This window comes from Homo sapiens, chromosome 12 (assembly GCF_000001405.40).
Source record: "Homo sapiens chromosome 12, GRCh38.p14 Primary Assembly".
NCBI classification, from domain to species: Eukaryota; Metazoa; Chordata; class Mammalia; order Primates; family Hominidae; genus Homo; species Homo sapiens.
The window spans coordinates 103,966,850-103,988,931 of record NC_000012.12 but is presented as its reverse complement, the minus strand read 5'-3'; the positions used below and the strand labels follow the sequence as shown (position 1 = coordinate 103,988,931).

The following is a 22,082-nucleotide window of genomic DNA, read 5'->3' as shown; positions in this document are numbered from 1 at the left end:
CTCAGGTTTAAAGGGGAAAGAATACCACTCAGTCTTGCTATAGAAAAAGCCCGTAAGTTAAGGATAACAATTCTTAATATCTTTTATTGTAAAAGCCATCAGACTTTCAAATGAATTTTAAAATCTTTCAATATTATTTAATGAAAAAGTCTCACACTGTCATGTATAGGATATATCAACATTTACTACTCATCTGTCATGTTAGGAAAAACATCATTATTACACGCTTGGAAAATCCTCAAACCCATCTCTAGTGGATGTCCGTCATAATTTAAAGGGTATTTTCCCCATTCAAATAAAACAATCTCTTGTAAAGCTACAATAGTTATATACCAAAGCAATACCTAGTTACATGCTTTACACAGTCCCGTGAAAAAATAATTTAATTGCTCCTAATCCCTGATGCAAGGCACTTCAAAGCACCCGCACAAAACGTCCATGTAAACAGCAGTACAGTACATCATTTAAATAACATAAATGACTTTTACACAGCTTGACCTAGGAAAAAATAAAATCCATCATAGCCACAGCTAAAAAGCATGTTAAGATTCACAATAAGAATTTGTTTCTCTTATTATAAAGAGAAGAGCAATCATATAACCTCCTGGGGGTGGGGGAGACCTCATAAATATTTTATATTGATTGACAAAACAGCATGCTCCCTGGGTACGTATGAAATCAGAATATTCAGGAGTAACTGAGAGGATGCAAATAACATTTCTTAGTACCCAGCTTTAATATCTACCAGACCTGGTAGTCTGGATTATTTGTAGCACCATGGAAAACTCATTAGAAAATCACAAAGGTATACACCTCAACCTTTCCATGAGGTTCATTTAATTTATAGTAACAAACAGCAATGATGCAGATAAAGAATCTTTAAAATTATTGGCTTACTGGATTTACCTAGCAAGAAAAATTCTATATTACTTATTTTAGTACATCTCATGTACATAAAGCACCAGTTTAAATGAGAGTATCAAATATCTCCAGCATCTTTTTGCTTAGCCTAGAAGTTCATTTCTTATCACTTTCCATGGCACACTCTTAAAGCCAAGGAAGATAAAACTAGAATGGTTATAAATATGAATGGAGAAATTCAGTTCCTTCCCTATCATATTTACATGTCTCAAGTAAAACACAGATGAGTGGCAAAAGGTCTACTGCATTCTCTGGAACCTGCCACCCCAGAGTAGTTAATTGGCTACTAGAGGATTAACACACAGGGCTGAGCAGGTCAAAGCCAGGGCTCTGTCAGGTAAGGGCCAGTTTTTACTACTGAGCAACTCACAAACACCACTGGTAAAGCAAAGAGGTCTGAGTGTGCATATAGCTCAGGGAACCCTGAGTTTACCCTTAGTTACCACTAAAAACTAACAAATGAGACTCCACTGAGGCTTAACTTCATATACAAAAATCAACACCTTTGCCTCTTTGACAGTGGTAATTATTAGCATGCCCTTCTTAGGTATAAAAGGGATAATGGTATATCTAGGTTTATGCAGTTAAGAATCAACTATAAATATTCAGACTTGTATTTTAAAATTACAGATTAAAAGTGACTCCCAAAAGAAAATCAATTTCTTCATAAATGAAATATAGTATATAAAAAGCTGGAATGATAATTAATTCAAATACAAAAGCTAGTATACAAAAACCCTACTTTTTCTTCCAAACTACTTAGGTTCATACGGTTCACACTACCACACAACTGTTCTACATTACAATTACACCACTAGAGTAAAATACTAATAAAACACTTCAGTTAGCAAACTGAGGTTCTACTTGTTGACAACTGCATTAAAACTGCAGCATTTAAGCAGAGCTGAGAAGCACCATTCTTAAGCATGGCTTTCTTCTTCCTGTTCTTGTGTTCCACAGTGATTACTAAAGGAAGGAATTTGGTCTGTAAATGACTGGGTCATCCACTGCCCATTAGGAATGCCACTGAAAGCTGATTCTCCTCTTAACTCCACGCTCTCAACTGCCAGAAAAGAAAAACAAAGTTAGTTTATGCCATTTAGAAATATTTGCTTTTTTTAAAGTAGAGACTGGGTCTTACTCTATCGCCCAGGCTGGAATGCAGTGGCATGATCACAGCTCTTTGCAGCCTCAAACTCCTGGGCTTGAGTGATCCTCCCATCCTAGCCTCTCAAAGCACTGGGATTACAGGTGTGAGCCACCGTATCAGCTTATTTGAAGTTTTTTTTTTTCTTTTTGAGACGGTGTCTCATTCTGTCACCCAGGCTGGAGTCCAGTGGTGTGATTTCGGCTCACTACAGCCTCTGCCTCCCGGGATCGAGGAGAGGCATATATATTATATATAATGATACTCCTGCCTCAGCCTCCCAAGTAGCTAGGATTATACCTGCCACCATGCTAATTTTTGTATATTTTAGTAGAGATGGGGTTTCACCATGTTGGCCAGGCTGGTCTCGAACTCCTGACCTCAAATGATCCACCCACCTCAGCCTCTCAAACTGCTGGGATTACAGGCGTGAACCACCATGCCCGGCCTGGAAGTTTTAAATGATCAAAGTAGGAGATTTTAACAGTCTAGTGAAGGAGAATTATTATTAAAATAGTTAAGCAAGCTTCCGGAATACAACTGTTAAGTTTCTGTTCTTCAGATACAGGACTCATTTGTTATTAAAGGAGGAAAATGCAACTAGGATGGCCTAGAGTTCATGACTTAAAGAAAATGCACTGTAGGCCGGGTGCGGTGGCTCATGCCTGTAATCCCAGCACTTTTGGAGGCCAAGGTGGGCAGATCACGAGGTCAGGAGATCGAGACCAACCTGGCTAACACGGTGAAACCCTGTCTCTATTAAAAATACAAAAAAAATTAGCCAGGCATCGTGGCGGATGCCTGTAGTCCCAGCTACTCGGGAGGCTGAGGCAGGAGAATGGTGTGAACCCAGGAGGGGGAGCTTGCAGTGAGCCAAGATCGAGCCACTGCACTCTAGCCTGGGTGACACAGCGAGAATCTGTCTCAAAAACAAACAAACAAAAAAGAAAATGTACTGTAAAAGTCTGTGTAATTCAACGTGAAATAACCATCAATTTTTCACTATTAGTCACTAAATAAAATTTCATATTATCATTCCCATTCTTCAATAATTTACTCTCCTTCTATTAAAATTTTCCCCCCAATCCTGACCAAACCGTCTTTGAAAGGAATACACATGTGGAGGGAACCATACTTAGCCCATTTGAAGAGAAGCCACAAGGTTCACTGCTGCATGGATTTTCTCCGTAAGCACCACCATATGCTGCCTCATAACCTGGATCATATTTTTCTTCCTTAACAGCCATCTTCTTTGCATCCTCTGTGAGGAAGGTAAAAAGGATTTAAATCTGATTTTGTACAACAATTTTAAAAGTAGCTTTATTCAGAAATCATGAACAATTCTTTTTCTTGAATATTCATATACACTGAGATACATCTCTATTAATCTTTTAAACTTATAGCATGTACTAAATAAACACATAAGAACTGTAAAAACCGCTTACATTCAACTTTACGTAGGGTACAATATTTCTTACATCCCTCTGCTCTGGCACTCTGCAGGTGAATTATCTGCAGAAGTGCCAGAGTAGAGGGAAGACCTTGGTAAAAGGAGATTTTAACAGTGACTAATATTCATTATCAGAGCACTCTGGCTGCGAATATAATTGTTTTCTTTTTTCCTGCTTTTAAATCCATAAGATACTTTCTGTAATGTGTGTGTGTGTGTGTGTGTGTGTGTGTGTGTGTGTGTGTGTATGTGTCTATATATAGACACACACATATGTATACGCACACAAGTGTATACACACATATATGTATATAGACATACATACTTATGTGTATATATGTATATATACACATGTATATATACACGTGTGCATATATGTGCACACATATGTATATGTGTATATGTATATATGTATATGTGTATATATATGTAAGTATATATGTGTATATATACACACACAAAATGAATAAAAGGAATGAGGACAGTAACATACCTTGGGCAAGCTGTAGGTCAAATGTATATTGCACCTCTTGAACGTCCATATTTCGTTCAATGCCTTTCAACTGATCTCTTAAGTCCTTCAGTTTTATGTAGTAATGAACTTTGTCTTGGGCTCGAGGAAACTGAGCACATCTTGCACTGGATGATGGCATAACATAGCAGAGCTAGAATCACAACATTTTATAATTTCAGAAATCTTATAATTCTATTGAATTCACTCATTGAGATTAGAATATTTGTCTTTATTTGGGTTAATAACTTGATACTTAACTACATATAAATATATGTAAAAATCAATAAAAGTAGTTGCTTTTAAGGTTGAATTTGTAATACTGACTTATTACCAAGTCAGGAAGTGAAAAATAATGAGCCTCCGCCTAATGAGCTGCCTCCTGGGTTCAAGCGATTCTTCTGCCTCAGCCTCCTACGTAGCTGGGATTACAGCGCATGCCACCATGCCTGGCTAATTTTTGTATTTTTTAGTGGAGATGGGGTTTCACCATGTTGGCCAGGCTGGTCTCGAACTCCTAACCTCAGGTGATCCGCCTGCCTCGGCCTCCCAAAGTGCTGGGATTATAGGCATGAGCCACCACGCCCGGCCTCCAAATGGCATGTAACAGAGAATGACACAGTACTCTACAGGAATTTCTCTACAATTCACTACAGGTAGTGAATTTGTACCATTTTAACCAAGCAGACAAAGGTGGGCCTTTATTTAAGCAAAAACCAATGCTATAATAAAACTCATCAATTGCATATTTATAAGAAATTATGAACAAAAACAATTTTAAAGGAGAAATTTAAATATATTTAGGTGGCAGAAACATTTTTAGGTTTCCACAAAAACCTGGCAGCAAATTAGCTTCTCCATCAGTTAAGATGTTGTATATACAACATGTAAATCTGTGCACTGTGTTGTTCTTTAAAAGTTGTAAATAAAACCTAAAACTAAGAAGCAAAATTGGAACCAAATGCCTGCAGAAGCTCTGTAGAGAGGACAATTTGAAAAACACTGTTATTTCATGATGACTTTGTGTATAAGACAACAGTATTGAATGCCAGTTAGGTTGGCTGGAGGCTTGTCTGGGTTGTATTATTTATATGGCTCTAAAATGAAGTTGAGCTAAGATATATAAATGGGGCAACTGGTTTTCCTAATCAGGATCATGTCTGTGTTTCCATGTTTGTTTCACAACAGTACGAGGGCTAAACCATTTGAATTTGACAACTACATGCCATTAAATGTATTCTGAATGTAGTATATGAGCCAGTTCCTCTCAATATTTTCACTGAATAACAACATCAAGACATTTAGCTGACAAATGTTTTTCTTTCTAATAAACCCTAATAGTATTTGAATTAATTTACAACTATTAGTTAAAGCTGATGTATAGGTATTATTCAACAAAATACAGTGTAATTGTTTTGCATGGTATAAATCACAATGGATAGGACAAATAAGGAAATTATCTAGAAAAAAATTCACATTTAGCTGATTTACAAATTCAATTTTAGGGACTTACAGTTTCTGTGTCTGGAATCTTATGGGGCTGAAGCCCAAATTCCAAGTTCTTAACCTTTACTCCAAAAACTTCTTTACTAAAAATTTCATAAATACCTAAAATGAAATACAAACATATTTACATTGCCCATAATGTTAGCAAAGAAAAAAAAAATTTAAAAGTAAATCTTACATTTTCCATTAAACACTGCTATTCGTGGCTGATATTTCTGTAATTTCTGTACTAGAATACGTCCTCCTTCACGAAATTCTTTACTAAAATTGAATTAAAAAGTAGTCAAAAATATAAATATGACAATATTTATAATATGCTAAATTCAGACAGCTTTCAATGAAAGAGCATATTGTACATTTGTTGAGCTCAGCTTGAACTAGATACATATGATGTTCCTAGAATATTTGGGGCACCAGCATACTCAAGGTTCCAACCCATAAAAGCAAATGCTGTGTACTTACCTGGAGAGATCTTTGCTGCCGGGCGTGGTCCTTTCCACCATGTTGGTAAATCCAATACCATACTTCCCTGGTAGAGTGTGATCATCCATATGGTTCAGCTGGACCTCACTGAGCCCTGACATAAACAAACACTTCCCTGTAAAATGAAAATTCAGTTATTTATTTTTTTTTAGACAGGGTCTCGCTCTGTCACCCAGGCTAGAGTGTAGTGGCACGATCATGGCTCAGTGCAGCCTCGACCACCGAGGCTCAAGCAATCCTCCCACTTCAGCCTCCTGAGTGGCTGGAACCCCAGATGCACACCACCACGCCCAGCTAATTTTTGTATTGTTTGTAGACAGGGTTTCACCATGTTGCCCAGGCTGGTCTTGAATTCCTGGGCTCAAGTGATCTTCCCACCTCAGCCTCCAAAATTGCTGGGATTACAGGTGTGAGCCACAGCGCTTGGATTTAATCATCATAATTATCTTGCAAGATACTATTATTATCTCCTTTTCACAGGGGGTTGAGGCAAATGCCTGCCCAAGAATATATAGCAACTCAGTTTAGGAAACTTTGAGACTATTTTGCTTTACAATTGGTGATACCACCACCTCACACGTAAACATACAGCACTAGACTAACAACATTCAAACACCTTGACAGTGAAGAAAGTCAAAAGTCCAAACTTCCCTTAAAAAGGAATTTTTTAAAATAATAGGGACAATATGTTATTATTAGTTCCAAAACCACATTACTATCAGTTGCCCTAAATGTTTTGAATGTTACTATTAGATAATCAATTTCCTGAGCGTATACTGCATACACTGATCTATTAGGCAGTATAAAATAAGATGATTTATATACAAGACAACTTATATAGAGAAGGCAATGCAACAGTAGTTACGCTTGTTTTTTGTTTGTTTTCTTGTTTGTTTTTGTGATACAGGGTCTAGTTCTGTCACCTAGGCTGGAGTGCAGTGGAGTAATTATGGCTAACTGCAGCCTCAACCTCTCAGGCTCAAGCAATTTTCCCAACCCAGCCTCCGTAGTAGCTGGAACTACAGGTGTGCACCACAGCACTCAGCTAATTTTTTATTTATTTTTTTGTAGAAATGAGATCTTGGTATGTTGTACAGGCTAGTCTCAAACTCCTGGCCTCAAGTGATCCTCCTGCTTTGGCCTCCCAAAGTGTTGGGATTACAGGTGTGAGCCACCAGATCCAGCCAACACTTGGTTTTAAAACTTACTCTAAAAATATGAGTCTTTACTACTATTTTATGCTCTGCTAGAAAATAATCACCAGAAATCTGGGAAAGTTAGTATTATGTCTGCACTGCCACAAAGATGTACTATACTATCGTTACTATGCCTATAGATAACAACTTTTAAAAAATCATTTTTAAAAAGTAATACAACTTGGCTGGGCGTTGTAGCTCACGCCTGTAATCCCAGCACTTTGGGAGGCTGAGGTGGGCAGATCACCTGAGGCCGGGAGTTCGAGACCAGCCTGACCAACATGGAGACACCCCGTCTCTACTAAAAATACAAAATTAACCAGGCGTGGTGGTACATGCCTGTAATCCCAGCTACTAGGGAGGCTGAGGCAGGAGAATCACTTGAACCTGGGAGGTGGAGATTGTGGTGAGCCGAGATCGCGCCATTGCACTCCAGTCTGCGCAAAAAGAGCGAAACTCCATCTCAAAAAAAAAAAAAAAAAAAAAAAAAAGTAGTACAACTCATTAGAAACAATTCAAACAAAAGAGAAAGTACTCTTATTCACATCCCTCCATTCTCATAGACTAAAATGTTAACAGTAACATATCATTTCAAACTCTCTTATTTTCACGTACAGACACACACACAGAACATGAAACACGAATGTGTATTTACAGTCTCTTTCTTTTTAAAAACACAATTGGTTTTTCTGAAAAAACCTGTTAACAAAGATACCTAATTTAAAAGTAAATTAATTTAAAAGGTAACCACTTACAAAAATGGTTTCCAGGTCCAGGGTAATGATGCCCTTTGTAAGCAGCCATTAGTCCCGGGTTTATGCCAATCTATAAAACAAAACAATTAGACATTTCATCTTAAAAAGCAGGACCTAAGCCTTAGCGTTTCTATGGAGGAGTGGTGGACAAAATTGAGTTGATTAAAATACAAATTTAATTCAGCATCATAAGCAATATCATTTATCAATTACTACTCTTGATCTGAACAAAGTATTTCATATATGGGAAAGAGATTTTCTTTATTTTAAAAGTTTTGCTGTTATTTTAAAAAACCAGTTTGACTCCTTTATGATCCCAGGCCTCGCACCCTCACCAACTGGGCTGCTTTGAGTCTGGAAAGACAGGTCCTGGAACAATCAATCTGAGCCCATGTCCAGCCACAATTCTGATTCTCAACTTTCAACAAGAAGCTCGCTCCACATCACCTACACAATTGTTCACATGCTGATGTTTCTTACAGTTACTGAGAAAAATAAGAGCTTAAAATTAGTGCTGCCATGTATCAGGTCTCCACAGGCATCATTCAGTTGAAGTGATTCACATGGATTCTCTCATTTACTTGCAACCCTATCGGGGGGTGGTATTATCACCCCTGGTTTATCAATGAGAAAACCGGTGTTTAGAAAGGTTAATAAGACTTATCCAAGATTATACTTGTGACAGGATTTGAACCCAGACAGTCTAAATTTGGAGCCCACCCTCTTAAACACTCTCATATAACACAACCTCATGAAGCTGACACCATTTACCACCAAAAGGATTCTTAGAAATGGTCCTTTTCAGCAAAATGCTATTTGCAAGGACAACTGTTAAGTAAAGCTGATCCCCCAATACTACTTATAAAATCCAACGAGGACAAAGATCTTACAATGACAATGTCCAGATTGAAGGTCAAAATATCGGGGAGAGTCTTGGTCAGAAGTTCAGCTTCTGAAACACCATTAAAACGGTCTACTTTTCTTTTTACTTTAAATGTGTCTGTAATTTTTTCTTGTTTTTCTTTTGATTTTGCAGACTTGCCAGATTTTTTTGACTCAACAGGTTTTTTGGGTTCCACTGGTTGTTTTGGTTCTGTTGTTCTGGGTTTTCTTTTTCTTCCTTTTGGAGCCTCTGAAATACAAATAATTTCCAGAAATGCAGAAAATCTTAACTTAGAAACTTTAGCAGCTTTCCCAGAAAAGTTACCCAACTAGCACCTTTTGTACCTGTCTCCCCAAAATTAAGCTCTTACAGTCCCAACATGAGTCTCCTCTGCAATATCTTCCCTTTCTTTCTCCCTAGAACTGGGTTCGTGCAACCCCCCATGCCACTCTCCTTCCCCTGCTAGCTGTTCGTGGGAAGAATAATCATAGACTATTATTTTCGACACAGTATTACTTGGCATCTTAACCTCCTCAAGGATACAAAGTATCTACATATCATTTTATATAAATTCTAAATGTAAATACATAAATAATTAAATAAGAACAGAAAAATAGAGAAACAGGAAGGAAGGGAAACATTTTAACTCAACTTCCCCAGTAGAAAACCACAAATGGGCCAGGTATGGTGGCTCATGTCTGTAATCCCAGCACTTTGGGAGGCCAAGGCAGGCAGATCACCTGACGTCAGGAGTTCAAGACCAGCCTGGCCAACATGGTGAAACCCCCGTCTTTACTAAAAATACAAAAATTAGCCAGGCATGGTGTCGTGCACCTGTAATTCCAACTACTCGGGAAGCTGAGGCAGGAGAATTGCTTGAACCCAAGAGGTGGAGGTTGCAGTGAGCTGAGATCATGCCTCTGCATTCCAGCCTGGGCAACAGAGCAAGACTCTGTCCAAAAAAAAAAAAGAAAGAAAAAAGAAAAACACAATGGCTTGTGGGCTTGTTTTAGAGATGAGGTGTATATTCTGTTCCATACATAGTTGAAGAGGGGAATTTAGGGGTGCCCAGGATGACATCTCTGGGCTGGCAGTATTTTTCAAAAGGCAAGAGGAGGGATCCAACCTCAGGACGTAAAGCAGTTTCTCAGCCTCCACACTATTGACATTTTAGGTTGCATAATTTTTTGTTGTGGGTGGCTGTACTGCACATTACAGAATGTTTAATAGCACCCCTGATCTCTACCCACTAGATGCCAGTAGTAACCTGCCAGTCTTGATCATCAAAAGTGTCTTCAGACAATGTCAAATGTCCCTTGGGAGGGCAAAATCACCCTTGATTGAAAACCACTGACCTATAGTTACCCAACAGGAAGCCCTGATTTTCTTACCCTTAATTATTTAACATTTCTCCTAACTACTCAGGCTTCTACCCTATTCTACTCCTCTTTGGCGTTTCCCCAATCAAGCCTCGCAGGATACAGGCAGTCAGTCCCTCCTCTCTTCTGCCTCACATTGTCTTAGCCACTCCCTATGCCAACAGATCCACCATCACTGGCATGTAGCTGGGGAAGTCCTAATGCGGAGGCAGAGTTATTAGATGTGTTCCTGCAATCATAAACCAAAACCCTGAGCACATTTCTCATAAAATACTGTTACACTGGAGAAAATCATTAACTTCTCTCCAACCACTCTCCCACCCCTGGAACCTATTATTTTCTTCTAATTCTCTGTCTTGGTGAGTGGCACCTCCTCCAACCAAATGCCAATGCCAGAAACCTGGTAGTTACTTCTGGACTCCCCTTTCTCCCCCACTATCCTGCCATGCTCCCCCCAAACACATGAAACCCATTAGCCATGGCTAGGTAATTCTACCTCCTAAGTGTTTCCTAATTCTTTCTCCACCCCTTCAGGTCCTCCTCAGTGCTCCCCTAGATTATTCAAACAGTGTCTCTAATCCATCTAATCCACTCCTTGACTCCAAGTTTTGTTTTTGTTTTTGTTTTTGTTTTTGTTTTTGAGACAGAGTCTCGCACTATTGCCCAGCTGGAGTGCAGTGGTGCAATCTTGGCTCACTGCAGCCTCTCAGCCTCCGCCTCCAGGATTCAAGCAATTCTCGTGCCTCAGCCTCCCCAGTAGCTGGAATCACAGGTGTGCGCCACCATGCCCGGCTAATTTGTGTGAGGCAGGGTTTTGCCATGTTCGCCAGGCTGGTCATGAACTCCTGACCTCAGGTGATCTACCCGCCTCAGCCTTCCAAAGTGCAGGGATTACAGGTATGAGCCACTGTGCCCGGCCTGCCTCCAAGTTCCGACTTGTTGTCTACCAACCAATCTATCTTCTCTAATATTTCCAGGCTAATTTGTAAAGCACCAGTCAAGTAAGTCATCCCTTGCTTACATTCTCTCAACAGCTCCCTATTGCCTTCATGATAGAATATAAATTCTTTGGGATTAAAAAACAAGTTTCAACTGTCCCCATCCAGCCTCACCTCTCACCATTTCCTTGTTATATCCCAGACTCCAAGGACACAGAATTGCTCTGTTTCTGGCCATGCCATGCTTGTGTGTGTCTGTACCCAGCCTGTATAGCTCCCTCAGCCTGGACATGTCCCTACTCTGATCTTTATCGGGATGAAGCCTCCACATTGTTGGAGTTTCAGAGCCCTGGTGTTATTTCTCTGCTCTGGGAAGCAGCCTCTGAGCCATCAGTCTGAGTTAGAAGCCAACCCCATAAGCTTTCAGGGCATTCATTCTATGCCCCTCTTCACTACAAACTGTGCTGAGCTGTAACGTGTATTTACTTATTACTTTTCTCTACTAGATTATGAGATATTTTTGGGCAGGACCCATGTTCTTTTATTCCCCAGAACCTATCAGTGCTTAGCACATACTAAGTACTTAAAAAGTGGATTTGACTTTTTAACACTAAAATAGAGCTAAAATTCACCATGAAACCCTTTCTCAAATAAGCTGGCTGATCCGATGTTGAACTTTCTAAGCTCTCATGGTGAAACTACCTTGCACTGGTTCCTGAGCAGGAGCTGGGGCTGGAACTTCTTCTGGCATTTGCTGTTCATTCACAACTGCCATATTAGGAGCTTCAGCCATCAGTTGTTGAAATGGAAACGTATAAAAAGCTTGAGCTTGCTGAAGGGAATAGCTGAAAGAATAATGAAGCATGAGATGTAATGATAAAATTACCCAAATGTAAATCCAAATGATCAGCTGTACAAAAATCTTCAGTACAGTATTAAGTATTTTGTAACCAGACTGAAGTATTTATTTAGAGTGGATTACAGAGGAGAGATCTAGTCCTGTATGTACATGTTCACCAACCTTTACTGAGTGCTTAATAACCAACCATTAACTCTTGCACTGTTTAAATGATAAGATGTGTCACTGATAAAACTGATCAGTCCTGTCAAGTCAGCCCATACTTTCTCTGAAATAAGATTTGAGGGAGTTTTCTAGTAGACAGACTTGAAAGGTCTATCAACCCATACAGGGTTAAGATGTCCCCAAATACAATTTGTGCCCCTACTTTCCTTCAGTATTTAATCACCTGAAGATCCCCTCCAATCTAATTAAGATTCTCTTTTAGTTTATTTTTATTTGCCTGTTTACTTATTTTTTCATTAGTTTGTGTGTGTGTGTGTGTGTGTGTGTGTGGGGAGACAGGGTCTCCCTCTGTCACCCAGGTTGGAGTGCAGTAGTGTGATCTTGGTTCACTGTTACTTCTGAGGTGGGAGATCTCAAGTGATCCTCCCACCTCAGCCTCCCAAGTAGCTGGGACTACAGGAGCGAGCCCCAATGCCTGGCTAATTTTTGTAATTTTTGTCTAGACAGGGTTTTGCCATGTTGGCCAGGCTGGTCTTGAACTTCTGAGCTCAAGAGATCTGCCCATCTCAGTTTCCCCAAGTGCTAGGATTACAGATGTGAGCCACTGCACCCAGGCCTATATTTGATTTTTATTGATGGTGGTATTTTTGTTTTGTTGGGGCTAGGGCTTTTTTTTTTTGCCACTGCTATGGTTTGAATGTGTCCCCCAAAGTTCACGTGTTGAAAACTAAATCCCCAATGCAAGTGTTGAGAGGTAGGACCTTTATGAGGTGACAAGGCCGGGCACAGTGGCTCACACCTGTAAACCCAGCACTTTGGGAGGCCGAGGAGGGTAGATCACCTGAGGTCAGGAGTTTATAACCAGCCTGACCAACATGGCAAAACCCCGCCTCTACTAAAAATATAAAAATTAGCCGGGCACAGTGGCATGCACCTGAAGTCCCAGATACTTGGGAGGCTGAGGCAGGAGAACTGTTTGAGCCTGGAAGGTGGAGGTTTAAGTGAGCTGAGATTGTACCACTGCACTCCAGCCTGGGTGACAGAGCAAGATTCTGTCTCAAAAGAAAAAAAAAATGGTGATTAGGTCAAGAGGAGGGCTCTGCCTTCAGGAGTGGGTTAATGCTATTATCACAGGAGAGGGTTCCTGATAACACGATGAGTGGATGAGTTCAACTCCCTTTCCTATCTCTCTGTCACAAGTGCTGCCTCACTGTGTGATTCCTTCTGCCATTTTATGACGCAGCAAGAAGCCCCTCATCAGATGTAGCCCCTCCATCTTGGACTTCCCAGGCTCCAGAAGTAGGAGCCAAAAAAACCTCTACTGTTTATTAATTGCCCAGTCTATGGCATTCTGAAACAGCAACACAAAATAGATTCAGTCACTAAAGAGAAACATGAAATGGATATTTTGTAAACATGTGTTGAATTTATGAAGGAAAAAACCTCTAAACCTCTCTTCTGAACACGATTTAAATTTTGTTCAAAGTATTCTGTTCAAAGGAAACAATGTGGGCTTTCAAAGAAAACAATTAAAAAAAATACTTCTCATGGCCTTAAACCACTATCTCATGGTGTTGCTGTTAGCATAAAACCAGAGAAGTAAACACATATTTGATGAAACTCAAGTTACAGCAAATGCCAAATAATGCCATTAAATAGGCAGGAGAAGAAAAACAGTAGAAAATAAAATGGAAAAGTTTGCTTTACTATTTGGAGAGGAAAGTCATGTTTTCTTTTTCTTTTTCTTTTTTTTTTTTTTTTTTTGAGACGGAGTCTCGCCCTGTCGCCCAGGCTGGAGTGTGGTGGCGCGATCTTGGCTCACTGCAAGCTCCGCCTCCCGGGTTCACGCCATTCTCCTGCCTCAGCCTCCCGAGTAGCTGGGACTACAGGCGCCCCCACCACCACACCCAGCTAATTTTTTTTTATATTTTTAGTAGAGACAGGGTTTCACCGTGTTAGCCAGGATGGTCTCAATCTCCTGACCTCGCGATCCACCCGCCTCAGCCTCCCAAAGTGCTGGGATTATAGGCATGAGCCACCGCGCCCAGCGAAAGTCATGTTTTCTACTGCAAGATACTATACTAATCAGTTTTCATTCTCTATGATATTCATTGAAAGAGAACAGGAAGCTCAGAAAGCAGATTAAAAAGGGAAATGAGGCCAGGCACGGTGGCTTATGTCTGTAATCCTAGTGCTTTGGGAGGGCAAGGCGGGAGGATCACTTGAGGCCAGGAATTCAAGAGTGGCCGGGGCAATATAGCAAGATCGCCACCTCCACAAAAAAATTTTAAAACATTAGCTGGGCATGGTGGTACATGCTGACAGCCCCAGCTGCTCAGGAGGGTGAGGCAGGAGGATTGCCTGAGTCTAGGAGTTCAAGGTTACAGTGAGCGATGATCACACTGCTGCACCCCAGCCTGGGGGACAGAACGAGACTCTGCCTCAATAACAACAACAACAACAACAAAAGAGGGCAAATGAGTACACTTTAAATGGATGAACTATGTAGTATGTAAATCATATCTCAATAAAATGGTTAACAGGAAAAAAAAAAGGCAAACTAAAGCATTTCCTGGATAAGCTTAAATGGCCTGGGGAAACAAAGGATAACAGACCACCCCCAGCGGCTGGGCTAAATGTTGGCAGCTCAAGATAAACAGAAGCCCAATCCCAATGGACAAACCACTGGAGAGGCATTTCCACTTCCAGCTATCTTTAAGGGTAGGTTGGTAAAGCAAAGATTAAGAATGAGTGAGAAAGAGATTAACCTGTATCATAAGAGTTTTATTTCTTTTATTGTTCACAAATTAAATAAAAATAAAGTTATGACTTAGTAAACTACAATACATTAACATGAGAAAATACTATGCAGCTAAAAAATTAAGTTTATTTATCTTATGTAAAAGAACAGGAAAGAGTTTATATATATTTTAAAACAGAAAAGAATACAAAATAGTATAACTAAGGCTACACATAAGGGAAAATATGTAGACAGGGACTAGAAGTTAAGATGTAGAACTATGCTTAGAAGCATACCTGGCACAAAGTAAAATGTCCTTTTTTTCCATAGTTTTATTTAATATTATTAGTAGCTCTATGCAATAAATTGTTAAAATATTGGTTGTTCAACATTCATGATTTAAATATTCTAATGATGAGTTGGATATGGCTAGGTTAGATCTGGAAGTCTTGAGCAGTGGTCCTATGGCAATTCTAACTAAAGAAACTGCAAGTTCTGACTGTGGTCAGCGGCAGCTTCCCGAGATTCTAATAGCACCTTGATTTAGCTTGAATATATAGAAACAAAGGCATATGGTGACAATAAATGAGCGAGCAAAAGAATGCATGAGATGTGGCTGGGTGCAGTGGCTCACGCCTGTAATCTCGGCGCTTTGGGAGGTCAAGGCGGGCGGATCACCTGAGGTCAGGAGTTCAAGACCAGCCCGACCAACATGCAGAAACCCTGTCTCTACTAAAAACACAAAATTAGCTGGGTGTGGTGGCGCATGCCTGTAATCCCAGCTAGTTCAGGATGCTGAGGTAGGAGAATCGCTTGAACCCAGGAGGTGGAGGTTGTGGTGAGCCGAGATGATGCCATTGCACTCCAGCCTGGACAACAAGAGCGAAACTCCGTCTCAAAAAAAAAAAAAAATGTATGAAACGTGTTTTTACTCTGTCACATGGTCAGGAAGGCAATCTACCTACCACTCTCCCATGTTTCTTACTACTACTCTCAGAATTTCACATGTCCCATTTTGAGCACTTCATGAAAATGCAAACTGAAAATACATAAATTAGGGAGACACCGTTCACATTACAACAGGATTCTTTACTTTAAAAAAATTTTTCAAAACTTTTAGTATAGTCGGAGGTCATTAATCATCTTCAGAAATTCTGGGGTTCAGAAGCTGAAAATCAAAATTCTAGAAATCACAGTTGGCTGAATAAAAAGTGAAAAATAAAGAGGAAAAATAATCTGAACTTTTATATTAGGTATATCAAGTTTGAAAGAAACCTAGAAACTTATCTATAATAATGAAATATCCCTTAATCTTTCTAAAAATGGACTGTGGCATTTTACAAAAAGTTAAATTAGAACAGGTAAAGGAAAATAAACCTATGGAAAATCAAATGTGTTAGTTCTGAGGAATACACTATCTTCGAGCATTAAACTTAGTTTGTTTACCTCAACAGCTGCCTAAAAGCCAGAATAAAAGATGGTGGATTACAACATTCTTATTCCTTGGCAGAAGCAAGCATTACATCTACACAAAAATCTTCATAAACTTGAATGCTAGTTAACTAAACAGTTCTGGATAACTGGCCGGAAACAGTGGCTCACGCCTGTAATCCCAGCACTTTGGGAGGCCGAGGGGGTTGGATCACGAGGTTAGGAGTTCGAGACCGGCCTGGCCAACATGGTGAAACCCCATCTCTACTAAAAATACAAAACTTAGTCAGGCGTCGTGGCATGCGCCTGTAATCCTAAATACAGGGAAGGCTGAGGCAGGAGAATTGCTTGAACTAGGGAGGCGGAGGCTGCAGTAAGCCAAGATCGTACCACTGTACTCCAGCCTGGGCGACAGAGCAAGACTCTGTCTAAAAAAAAAAGGGGGGTTCTGGATAATTTTATCTTCTATTATAATAACAACTAAATGTATAAGCAGCATAAACCTGTTTCAACCTCAGTGTGAGGATATTTCTTAAATACATTTGTGTATGCATAATGATCGTTGCTACTTTATAATCCAGAACTCTGCAATGTTTCTGAGCAATAACTCTATGAGAAGGACAGTAACAAAGAGCATTTAGTCATTTATCCTCTCGGGGTATCCATTCCCTCACCATGAAAATGAGGAATTAGATTCAGTGATTTCTACATATGTGGACAATGTATAGGAAATAGGACTAGATCTGTCTAGACTCAAAACAGACCCCAAAGACTTTCTACTTTGTATAACTTCCTGATGTTAAACTTACAAGCACGATTGATTTTATTTCTCTTCGTTCACTTTTCTTCCCCCATCATTTATCTTAGTCTCAAATATTCTTCACTACCTCTCACTCTCCCTCATTTTCCTGTTTACCCCTTTTTCTCTGCTAGCCTCCATTTGCACTTACCTTCTGTTGAACTGCAGCGCTCATAGATTGTTTTTCTGTTGTTTTTTGTTTGTTTGGTTTTTGAGACAGAGTCTCGCTCTGTCACCCAGGCTGGAGTGCAATGGCATGATCTCGGCTCACTGCAACCTCTGCCTCCTGGGTTCAAGTGATTCTCCTGCCTCAGCCTCCTGAGTAGCTGGGATTACAGGCACCTACACCGGGCTAATTTTTGTATTTTTAGTAGAGACAGGGTTTCACCATGTTGGTCAGGCTGGTGTCAAACTCCTGACCTCACGATCTGCCCGCCTTAGCTTCCCCAAAGTGCTGGGATTACAGGTGTGAGCCACTGTGTCCGGCTAGATTGTTTTCTTATAGCTGCCTGGAACTGATGAATTGTGTACAGTCATCCTTTAGTTACTAATCAATCTTTCTAAAAATGGACTGTGGTATGTACCTAGTTTTGCATACATGGGGGACTGGTTGTAGAACCCCTCACAGACACCAATATCTAAGGATGCTCAAGTCGCTTGATATAAAATGGCATAGTATTTGTATATAACCTATGCAGATCCTCCCATATACTTTAGATAATCTTTACATTATTTATAATACCTAATACAATGTAAATGCTATGTAAGTAGCTGTCATCCTGCATTCTTTTTATCTGTATCATTTTTTAATGTTGTTATTTGTCTTTTTTTTTCCCAAATAATTTCAATCCACAGTTGGTTGAATTCTTAGATGCAGAATCCATAGATATGGAAGGTCGACTATATTTTCTGATAGTCTTTCTCAAAACACACATACACACACTCCACGCATAGAGTTCATTAAGAAGTCCAGTTAATTCAGATTTGCTATTTTTTTATTTTTTTAATTATTTTTTTTTTAAGAGATGGGGTCTCACTCTGTCACCCATGCTGGAGTGCAGTGGCATGATCATAGTTGGCTGCAGCCTCCAACTCCTGGGCTCAAGTGATCCTCCTGCCTCAGCCTCCTGAGTAGCTAGGACTACAGGCACACACCACCATGCCTAGCTAGATTTGCTGTATTTCAAAAAACTAAATTTTTAAGGTTTTCTCTAAAATTAATGACTCCAACTTCTTTTATCTTCAATTATTTTACACTATTTTAGGGATTTAAGTTGCTTTTTTCTTTTTTAAGAGACAGGGTCTGGCTGCCACCCAGGCTGGAGTGCAGTGGTGCTATCATAGCTCACAGTAACCACACACACCTGGGCTCAGACAATCCTCTCACCTCAGTCTCCTGAGCAGCTGGGACTACAGGTACATGCATCTATGCCTGGCTAAATTTTAAATTTTTTGTAGAGATGGGGCTTCACTATGTTGCCCAGGCTAGTCTTGAACTTCTGGTCTCAAGTGATCCTCCCACCTTGGCCTCCCAAAGTGCTGGGATTACAGGTGTGAGCCACTGCACCCAGCCTAAGTTGCTATTTTCTAAATACATTTTATTATCTTCACTTAAAAAAAGCATATACCATACTGAATACTTACAAAATAATGAACAAGGCTAAATAATCCAAATGCTCAACTAAAGGGGTCTGGTTATGTAAATTATGATGCGATAGCACCATAACTATTATTCCATTTGGTATTGCTAGATGGAGGTCTGTGTATTCACCATATGTACAGTCTACTAGAAACTGTAAATATAAAGATTTAGAATAAGCCAGTCCTCATACAGTATTCCTCAAATAGTATAATTCCTCATGTAGTATGATTTCAAATTTCTTCATTTTTTGGTGCTCGGAATCAAACAAAACTCCAGATAAAGCCTCATCAGCCCGAAAATGAGCAGGGCTACCAACTTGCTCATTTTGGAGACAAACTGCAGAACCCATGACACTAGCTATACTGGCACCCACATTATACTGTTGATTCACACTGAGTTTCCCATCAACGAACACTGTCCTTGTATCACTTCTCCCTCATTCCACACTTTATCACTGATTTTTCTGCAGCTGAGTATAGGATTGTGCCTCTTCTTTGTAAAAGATGATTCACCATTCCAGTCAGTCAGGATTTATCTGGACTCTGATTAAATCAATCAGTTAATTCCACAAATTCCTCCCAGGCTTGGGTCACTCACAAATTTTATCACCATGCCATCAGCACCCTGACGTTAAGGTACTGAAAGGAACAAAGTTAGGGATAGAGATACATGGCATATAAGTACAGACCTCTCTTCAGTCTGCCTGATTCTTTCAGTAGTAAGTCAGGTTTTTATTTCACCTAACTGGATTGCCATCAGTCCATCTCCATCTTGCTCACTAAGAGAGGCAGTAAAGCACATTTGCTAGCTAGAGAAGCAGACTTTGAAGCTAGGTCATCTGGATTCAAATTTCAGCTCTCCCATTTACTAGCTCTGTGGGCAAGTTCCTTAATCTCTTTATGCCCATGCTTCCACATCTGTAAAATGGGAATAGTACCTAATAATTGGTTAGGAGCATTAAGCTAGTTGGCCTATGTAAAACATCCAAAACAGTACCTGGTATATAATAAATTTGCTATAATAATGACTACTGTAGGTACCTCCTGCCAGCATCCTTCTGATGCTGCCTGTCTAGTATAGGTCTTGCTTTCTTTCTGAACTGATACTGTAGTGTAGTGGTCACTAGTTATGCCACCATGCCCAGCTAATTTTGTATTTTTAGTAGAGACGGGGTTTCACCATATTGGCCAGGCTGGTCTTGAACTCCTGACTTCAGGTGATCCACTTGCCTTGGCCTCCCAAAGTGCTGGGATTACAGGCGTCAGCCACTGTGCCCGGTCAATTAGTTTCTTTTAAAAATGCTCAGTAACCATTGATTAAGTAAAAATTTTGTTCAGGATCAATGTCAACAGAGGACAGACTCCACCTCTGGAAGAACAGGAACCCACGTGTTTATTTCCAGGTCCCTTACATTTGCTACAAATCCTCTAACACTGCTTTAATCTGGCCTCTCCCTTGAAACACAACACACGCAGGCCAAGGCATATGATTCTGTTAGAACACCTGAAACTTCTCCTAAATGCCTTCACTGGTCTTGAGCTTTAAGTCTTACAGATATTCATTCTGCCATTTCCAGTCAGACAATCATTTTGCTAACATAGGAGATGTAAAATCCAAATCAGAACAAAGTACTTAGGTGTTCTGTTGTCTGCTGCCACCATGCCAGTAGACTGGGGAGAAAACCCAAATCTTTTTTATTCTTCTTGTTGTCAACATCTAACCAAAACAGTCCTTCCTGGTCTCCTTAACATTTCTATAAAGTCTACTCTCATGCAAGGGTTAATCTTTCCTGTTGGTATTCTTAGTGGTCCATGCTACTCTCTTCCAGTTACTTTTGATTTGGCATCCTATTTTCCATCTTCGGTAAATGTCTTTTTCACGCCTGAGGTCACGGGAAACTCCCCAGTACCCTTAGAAAATTCCTCCTTTATTCCTCTCTGGTTGATTGACTGTAAGCACTTTCTAAGACTCCTGAACTATTTTGCCATTGAAATAAAGTCTAGGCTGGGCGCTTTGGCTCATGCTTGTAATCCCAGCACTTTGGGAGGCCAAAGTGATCACTTGAAGCCAGGAGTTCAAGACCCGCCTGGCCAAAATGGTGAAACCTCGTCTCTGCTAAATATACAAAAAATTAGCTGGGCGTGGTGTTGGGTACCTGTAGTCCCAGATGCTTGGGAGGCTGAGGCATGAGAATCGCTTAAACTCGGGAAGCAGAGGTTGCAGTGAACGGTGATCGCACCACTGTACTCCATCTTGGGCAACAGAGTGAAACTCTGTCTCAAAAAAAAAAAAAAACAAAAAAAAAAGTCTGTATTCATGGAATTTGAATTTTCTTCTTTGAATATCTGAAATTAGTCTTCTAAAAAAGTCGGCTGGGCCCGGTGGCTCACATTTGTAATCCTAGCACTTTGGGAGGCCGAGGCAGGTGGATCACTTGAGGGCAAGAGTTCAAGACCAGCCTGGCCAACATGGTGAAACCCTGTCTCTACTAAAAATACAAAAATTAGCCAGGCCTGGTGGCAGGTGCCTGTAATCCCAGCTACTTGGGAGGCTGCAGCGGGAGAATCGCTTGAACCCGGGTGATGGAGGTTGCAGTGAGCCAAGATCCGCCACTGCACTCCAGCCTGGGCAACAGAGCAAGGCTCTGTCTCAAAAAAAAAAAAAAAAAAAGTAAATTTATTTTTTTTCACATCCCACATTACATTTCTTGATTAGCACAGTCAAGGGTGACAGAGAACTACTCTCTTAAGGATTACCTGGGGTCTGAGTCATTTCAGAAGATTACACAGAATTTTCCACAGTTCCTGAAGGTGAAAGCTTTTCAAGGCAAAATAAAATCTGGTCTATAGCCTTTTGGATGAAGTCAGGCCGACATATCACAGCTTTGAGCTAAACAGTGTATTGAAGTCCTACTATTTTGCTGTAAGACCCTGAATAAAGTCTTACAATGTGTAATTTATTCTTGGCCCAAGTTTCAATTCTGCTCTTAAGTGAGGTTATGAGAGAGAGATTTCCACAAATTCTGGTGAATTCTCTTATTTGTAAAGTTCTTCTGGGAAAGAAGTGGAGTAATTTATTCCAGGACTTGATCCACAAAGTCAAGATAAAGTCCACACTTTGTCTACATATATCTCTTTTCCTAAGCTCTAATTTATTTTGGTTAGTGTGCCCTTTCATGTAACACCAATTCTCGGCATGTCAGAATCAGATTCCAGACATGCCAACTTTACAGACATGAACAGGCCCATATAAGTCCCTTGTATTGCCTAAATTCAGC

General features: G+C 40.1%; 1 protein-coding gene across 6 annotated transcripts in view, besides 2 other annotated features; it reads right to left on the bottom strand.

Annotated features, from left to right (window-relative positions):
- Nucleotides 1-57: 57 nt before the first annotated feature.
- TDG (thymine DNA glycosylase) overlaps nucleotides 58-22,082 on the bottom strand; it is a 23,003-nt gene continuing 978 nt past the window's right edge. Inside the window, exons 1-10 of one of the 6 annotated variants that reach the window (XM_047429486.1) lie at nucleotides 15,899-16,572; nucleotides 11,872-12,014; nucleotides 8,860-9,101; nucleotides 7,970-8,039; nucleotides 5,998-6,133; nucleotides 5,714-5,796; nucleotides 5,543-5,637; nucleotides 4,012-4,183; nucleotides 3,204-3,329; nucleotides 58-1,984 (exon numbers count right to left, since the gene is read on the bottom strand). In XM_047429486.1, coding sequence (XP_047285442.1) covers nucleotides 1,842-1,984; nucleotides 3,204-3,329; nucleotides 4,012-4,183; nucleotides 5,543-5,637; nucleotides 5,714-5,796; nucleotides 5,998-6,133; nucleotides 7,970-8,039; nucleotides 8,860-9,101; nucleotides 11,872-12,014; nucleotides 15,899-15,909 — 1,221 coding nt within the window. In that variant the 5' untranslated portion in view covers nucleotides 15,910-16,572 and the 3' untranslated portion in view covers nucleotides 58-1,841. Of the gene's footprint in view, nucleotides 1,985-3,203; nucleotides 3,330-4,011; nucleotides 4,184-5,542; nucleotides 5,638-5,713; nucleotides 5,797-5,997; nucleotides 6,134-7,969; nucleotides 8,040-8,304; nucleotides 8,778-8,859; nucleotides 9,102-11,871; nucleotides 12,015-15,898; nucleotides 16,573-22,082 lie in introns of those variants that run through there. The other 5 variants (NM_003211.6, XM_047429488.1, NM_001363612.2 and 2 more) reach the window with 5 other exon arrangements.
- Nucleotides 13,339-13,508: an enhancer, noted in NCBI's record as "experimental_23620 CRE fragment used in MPRA reporter constructs". NCBI's record gives its function as "activates a minimal promoter by MPRAs in K562 erythroleukemia cells, with activity observed for both the introgressed and non-introgressed 12:104369287 or rs4135082 variant alleles {active_cell/tissue: K562}" and the evidence as "EXISTENCE:reporter gene assay evidence [ECO:0000049][PMID:34662402]".
- Nucleotide 13,423: a transcriptional cis regulatory region, noted in NCBI's record as "Neanderthal adaptively introgressed variant 12:104369287 (GRCh37/hg19 assembly coordinates) or rs4135082 in the experimental_23620 CRE". NCBI's record gives its function as "modulates activity of the experimental_23620 enhancer by MPRAs in K562 erythroleukemia cells {active_cell/tissue: K562}" and the evidence as "EXISTENCE:reporter gene assay evidence [ECO:0000049][PMID:34662402]".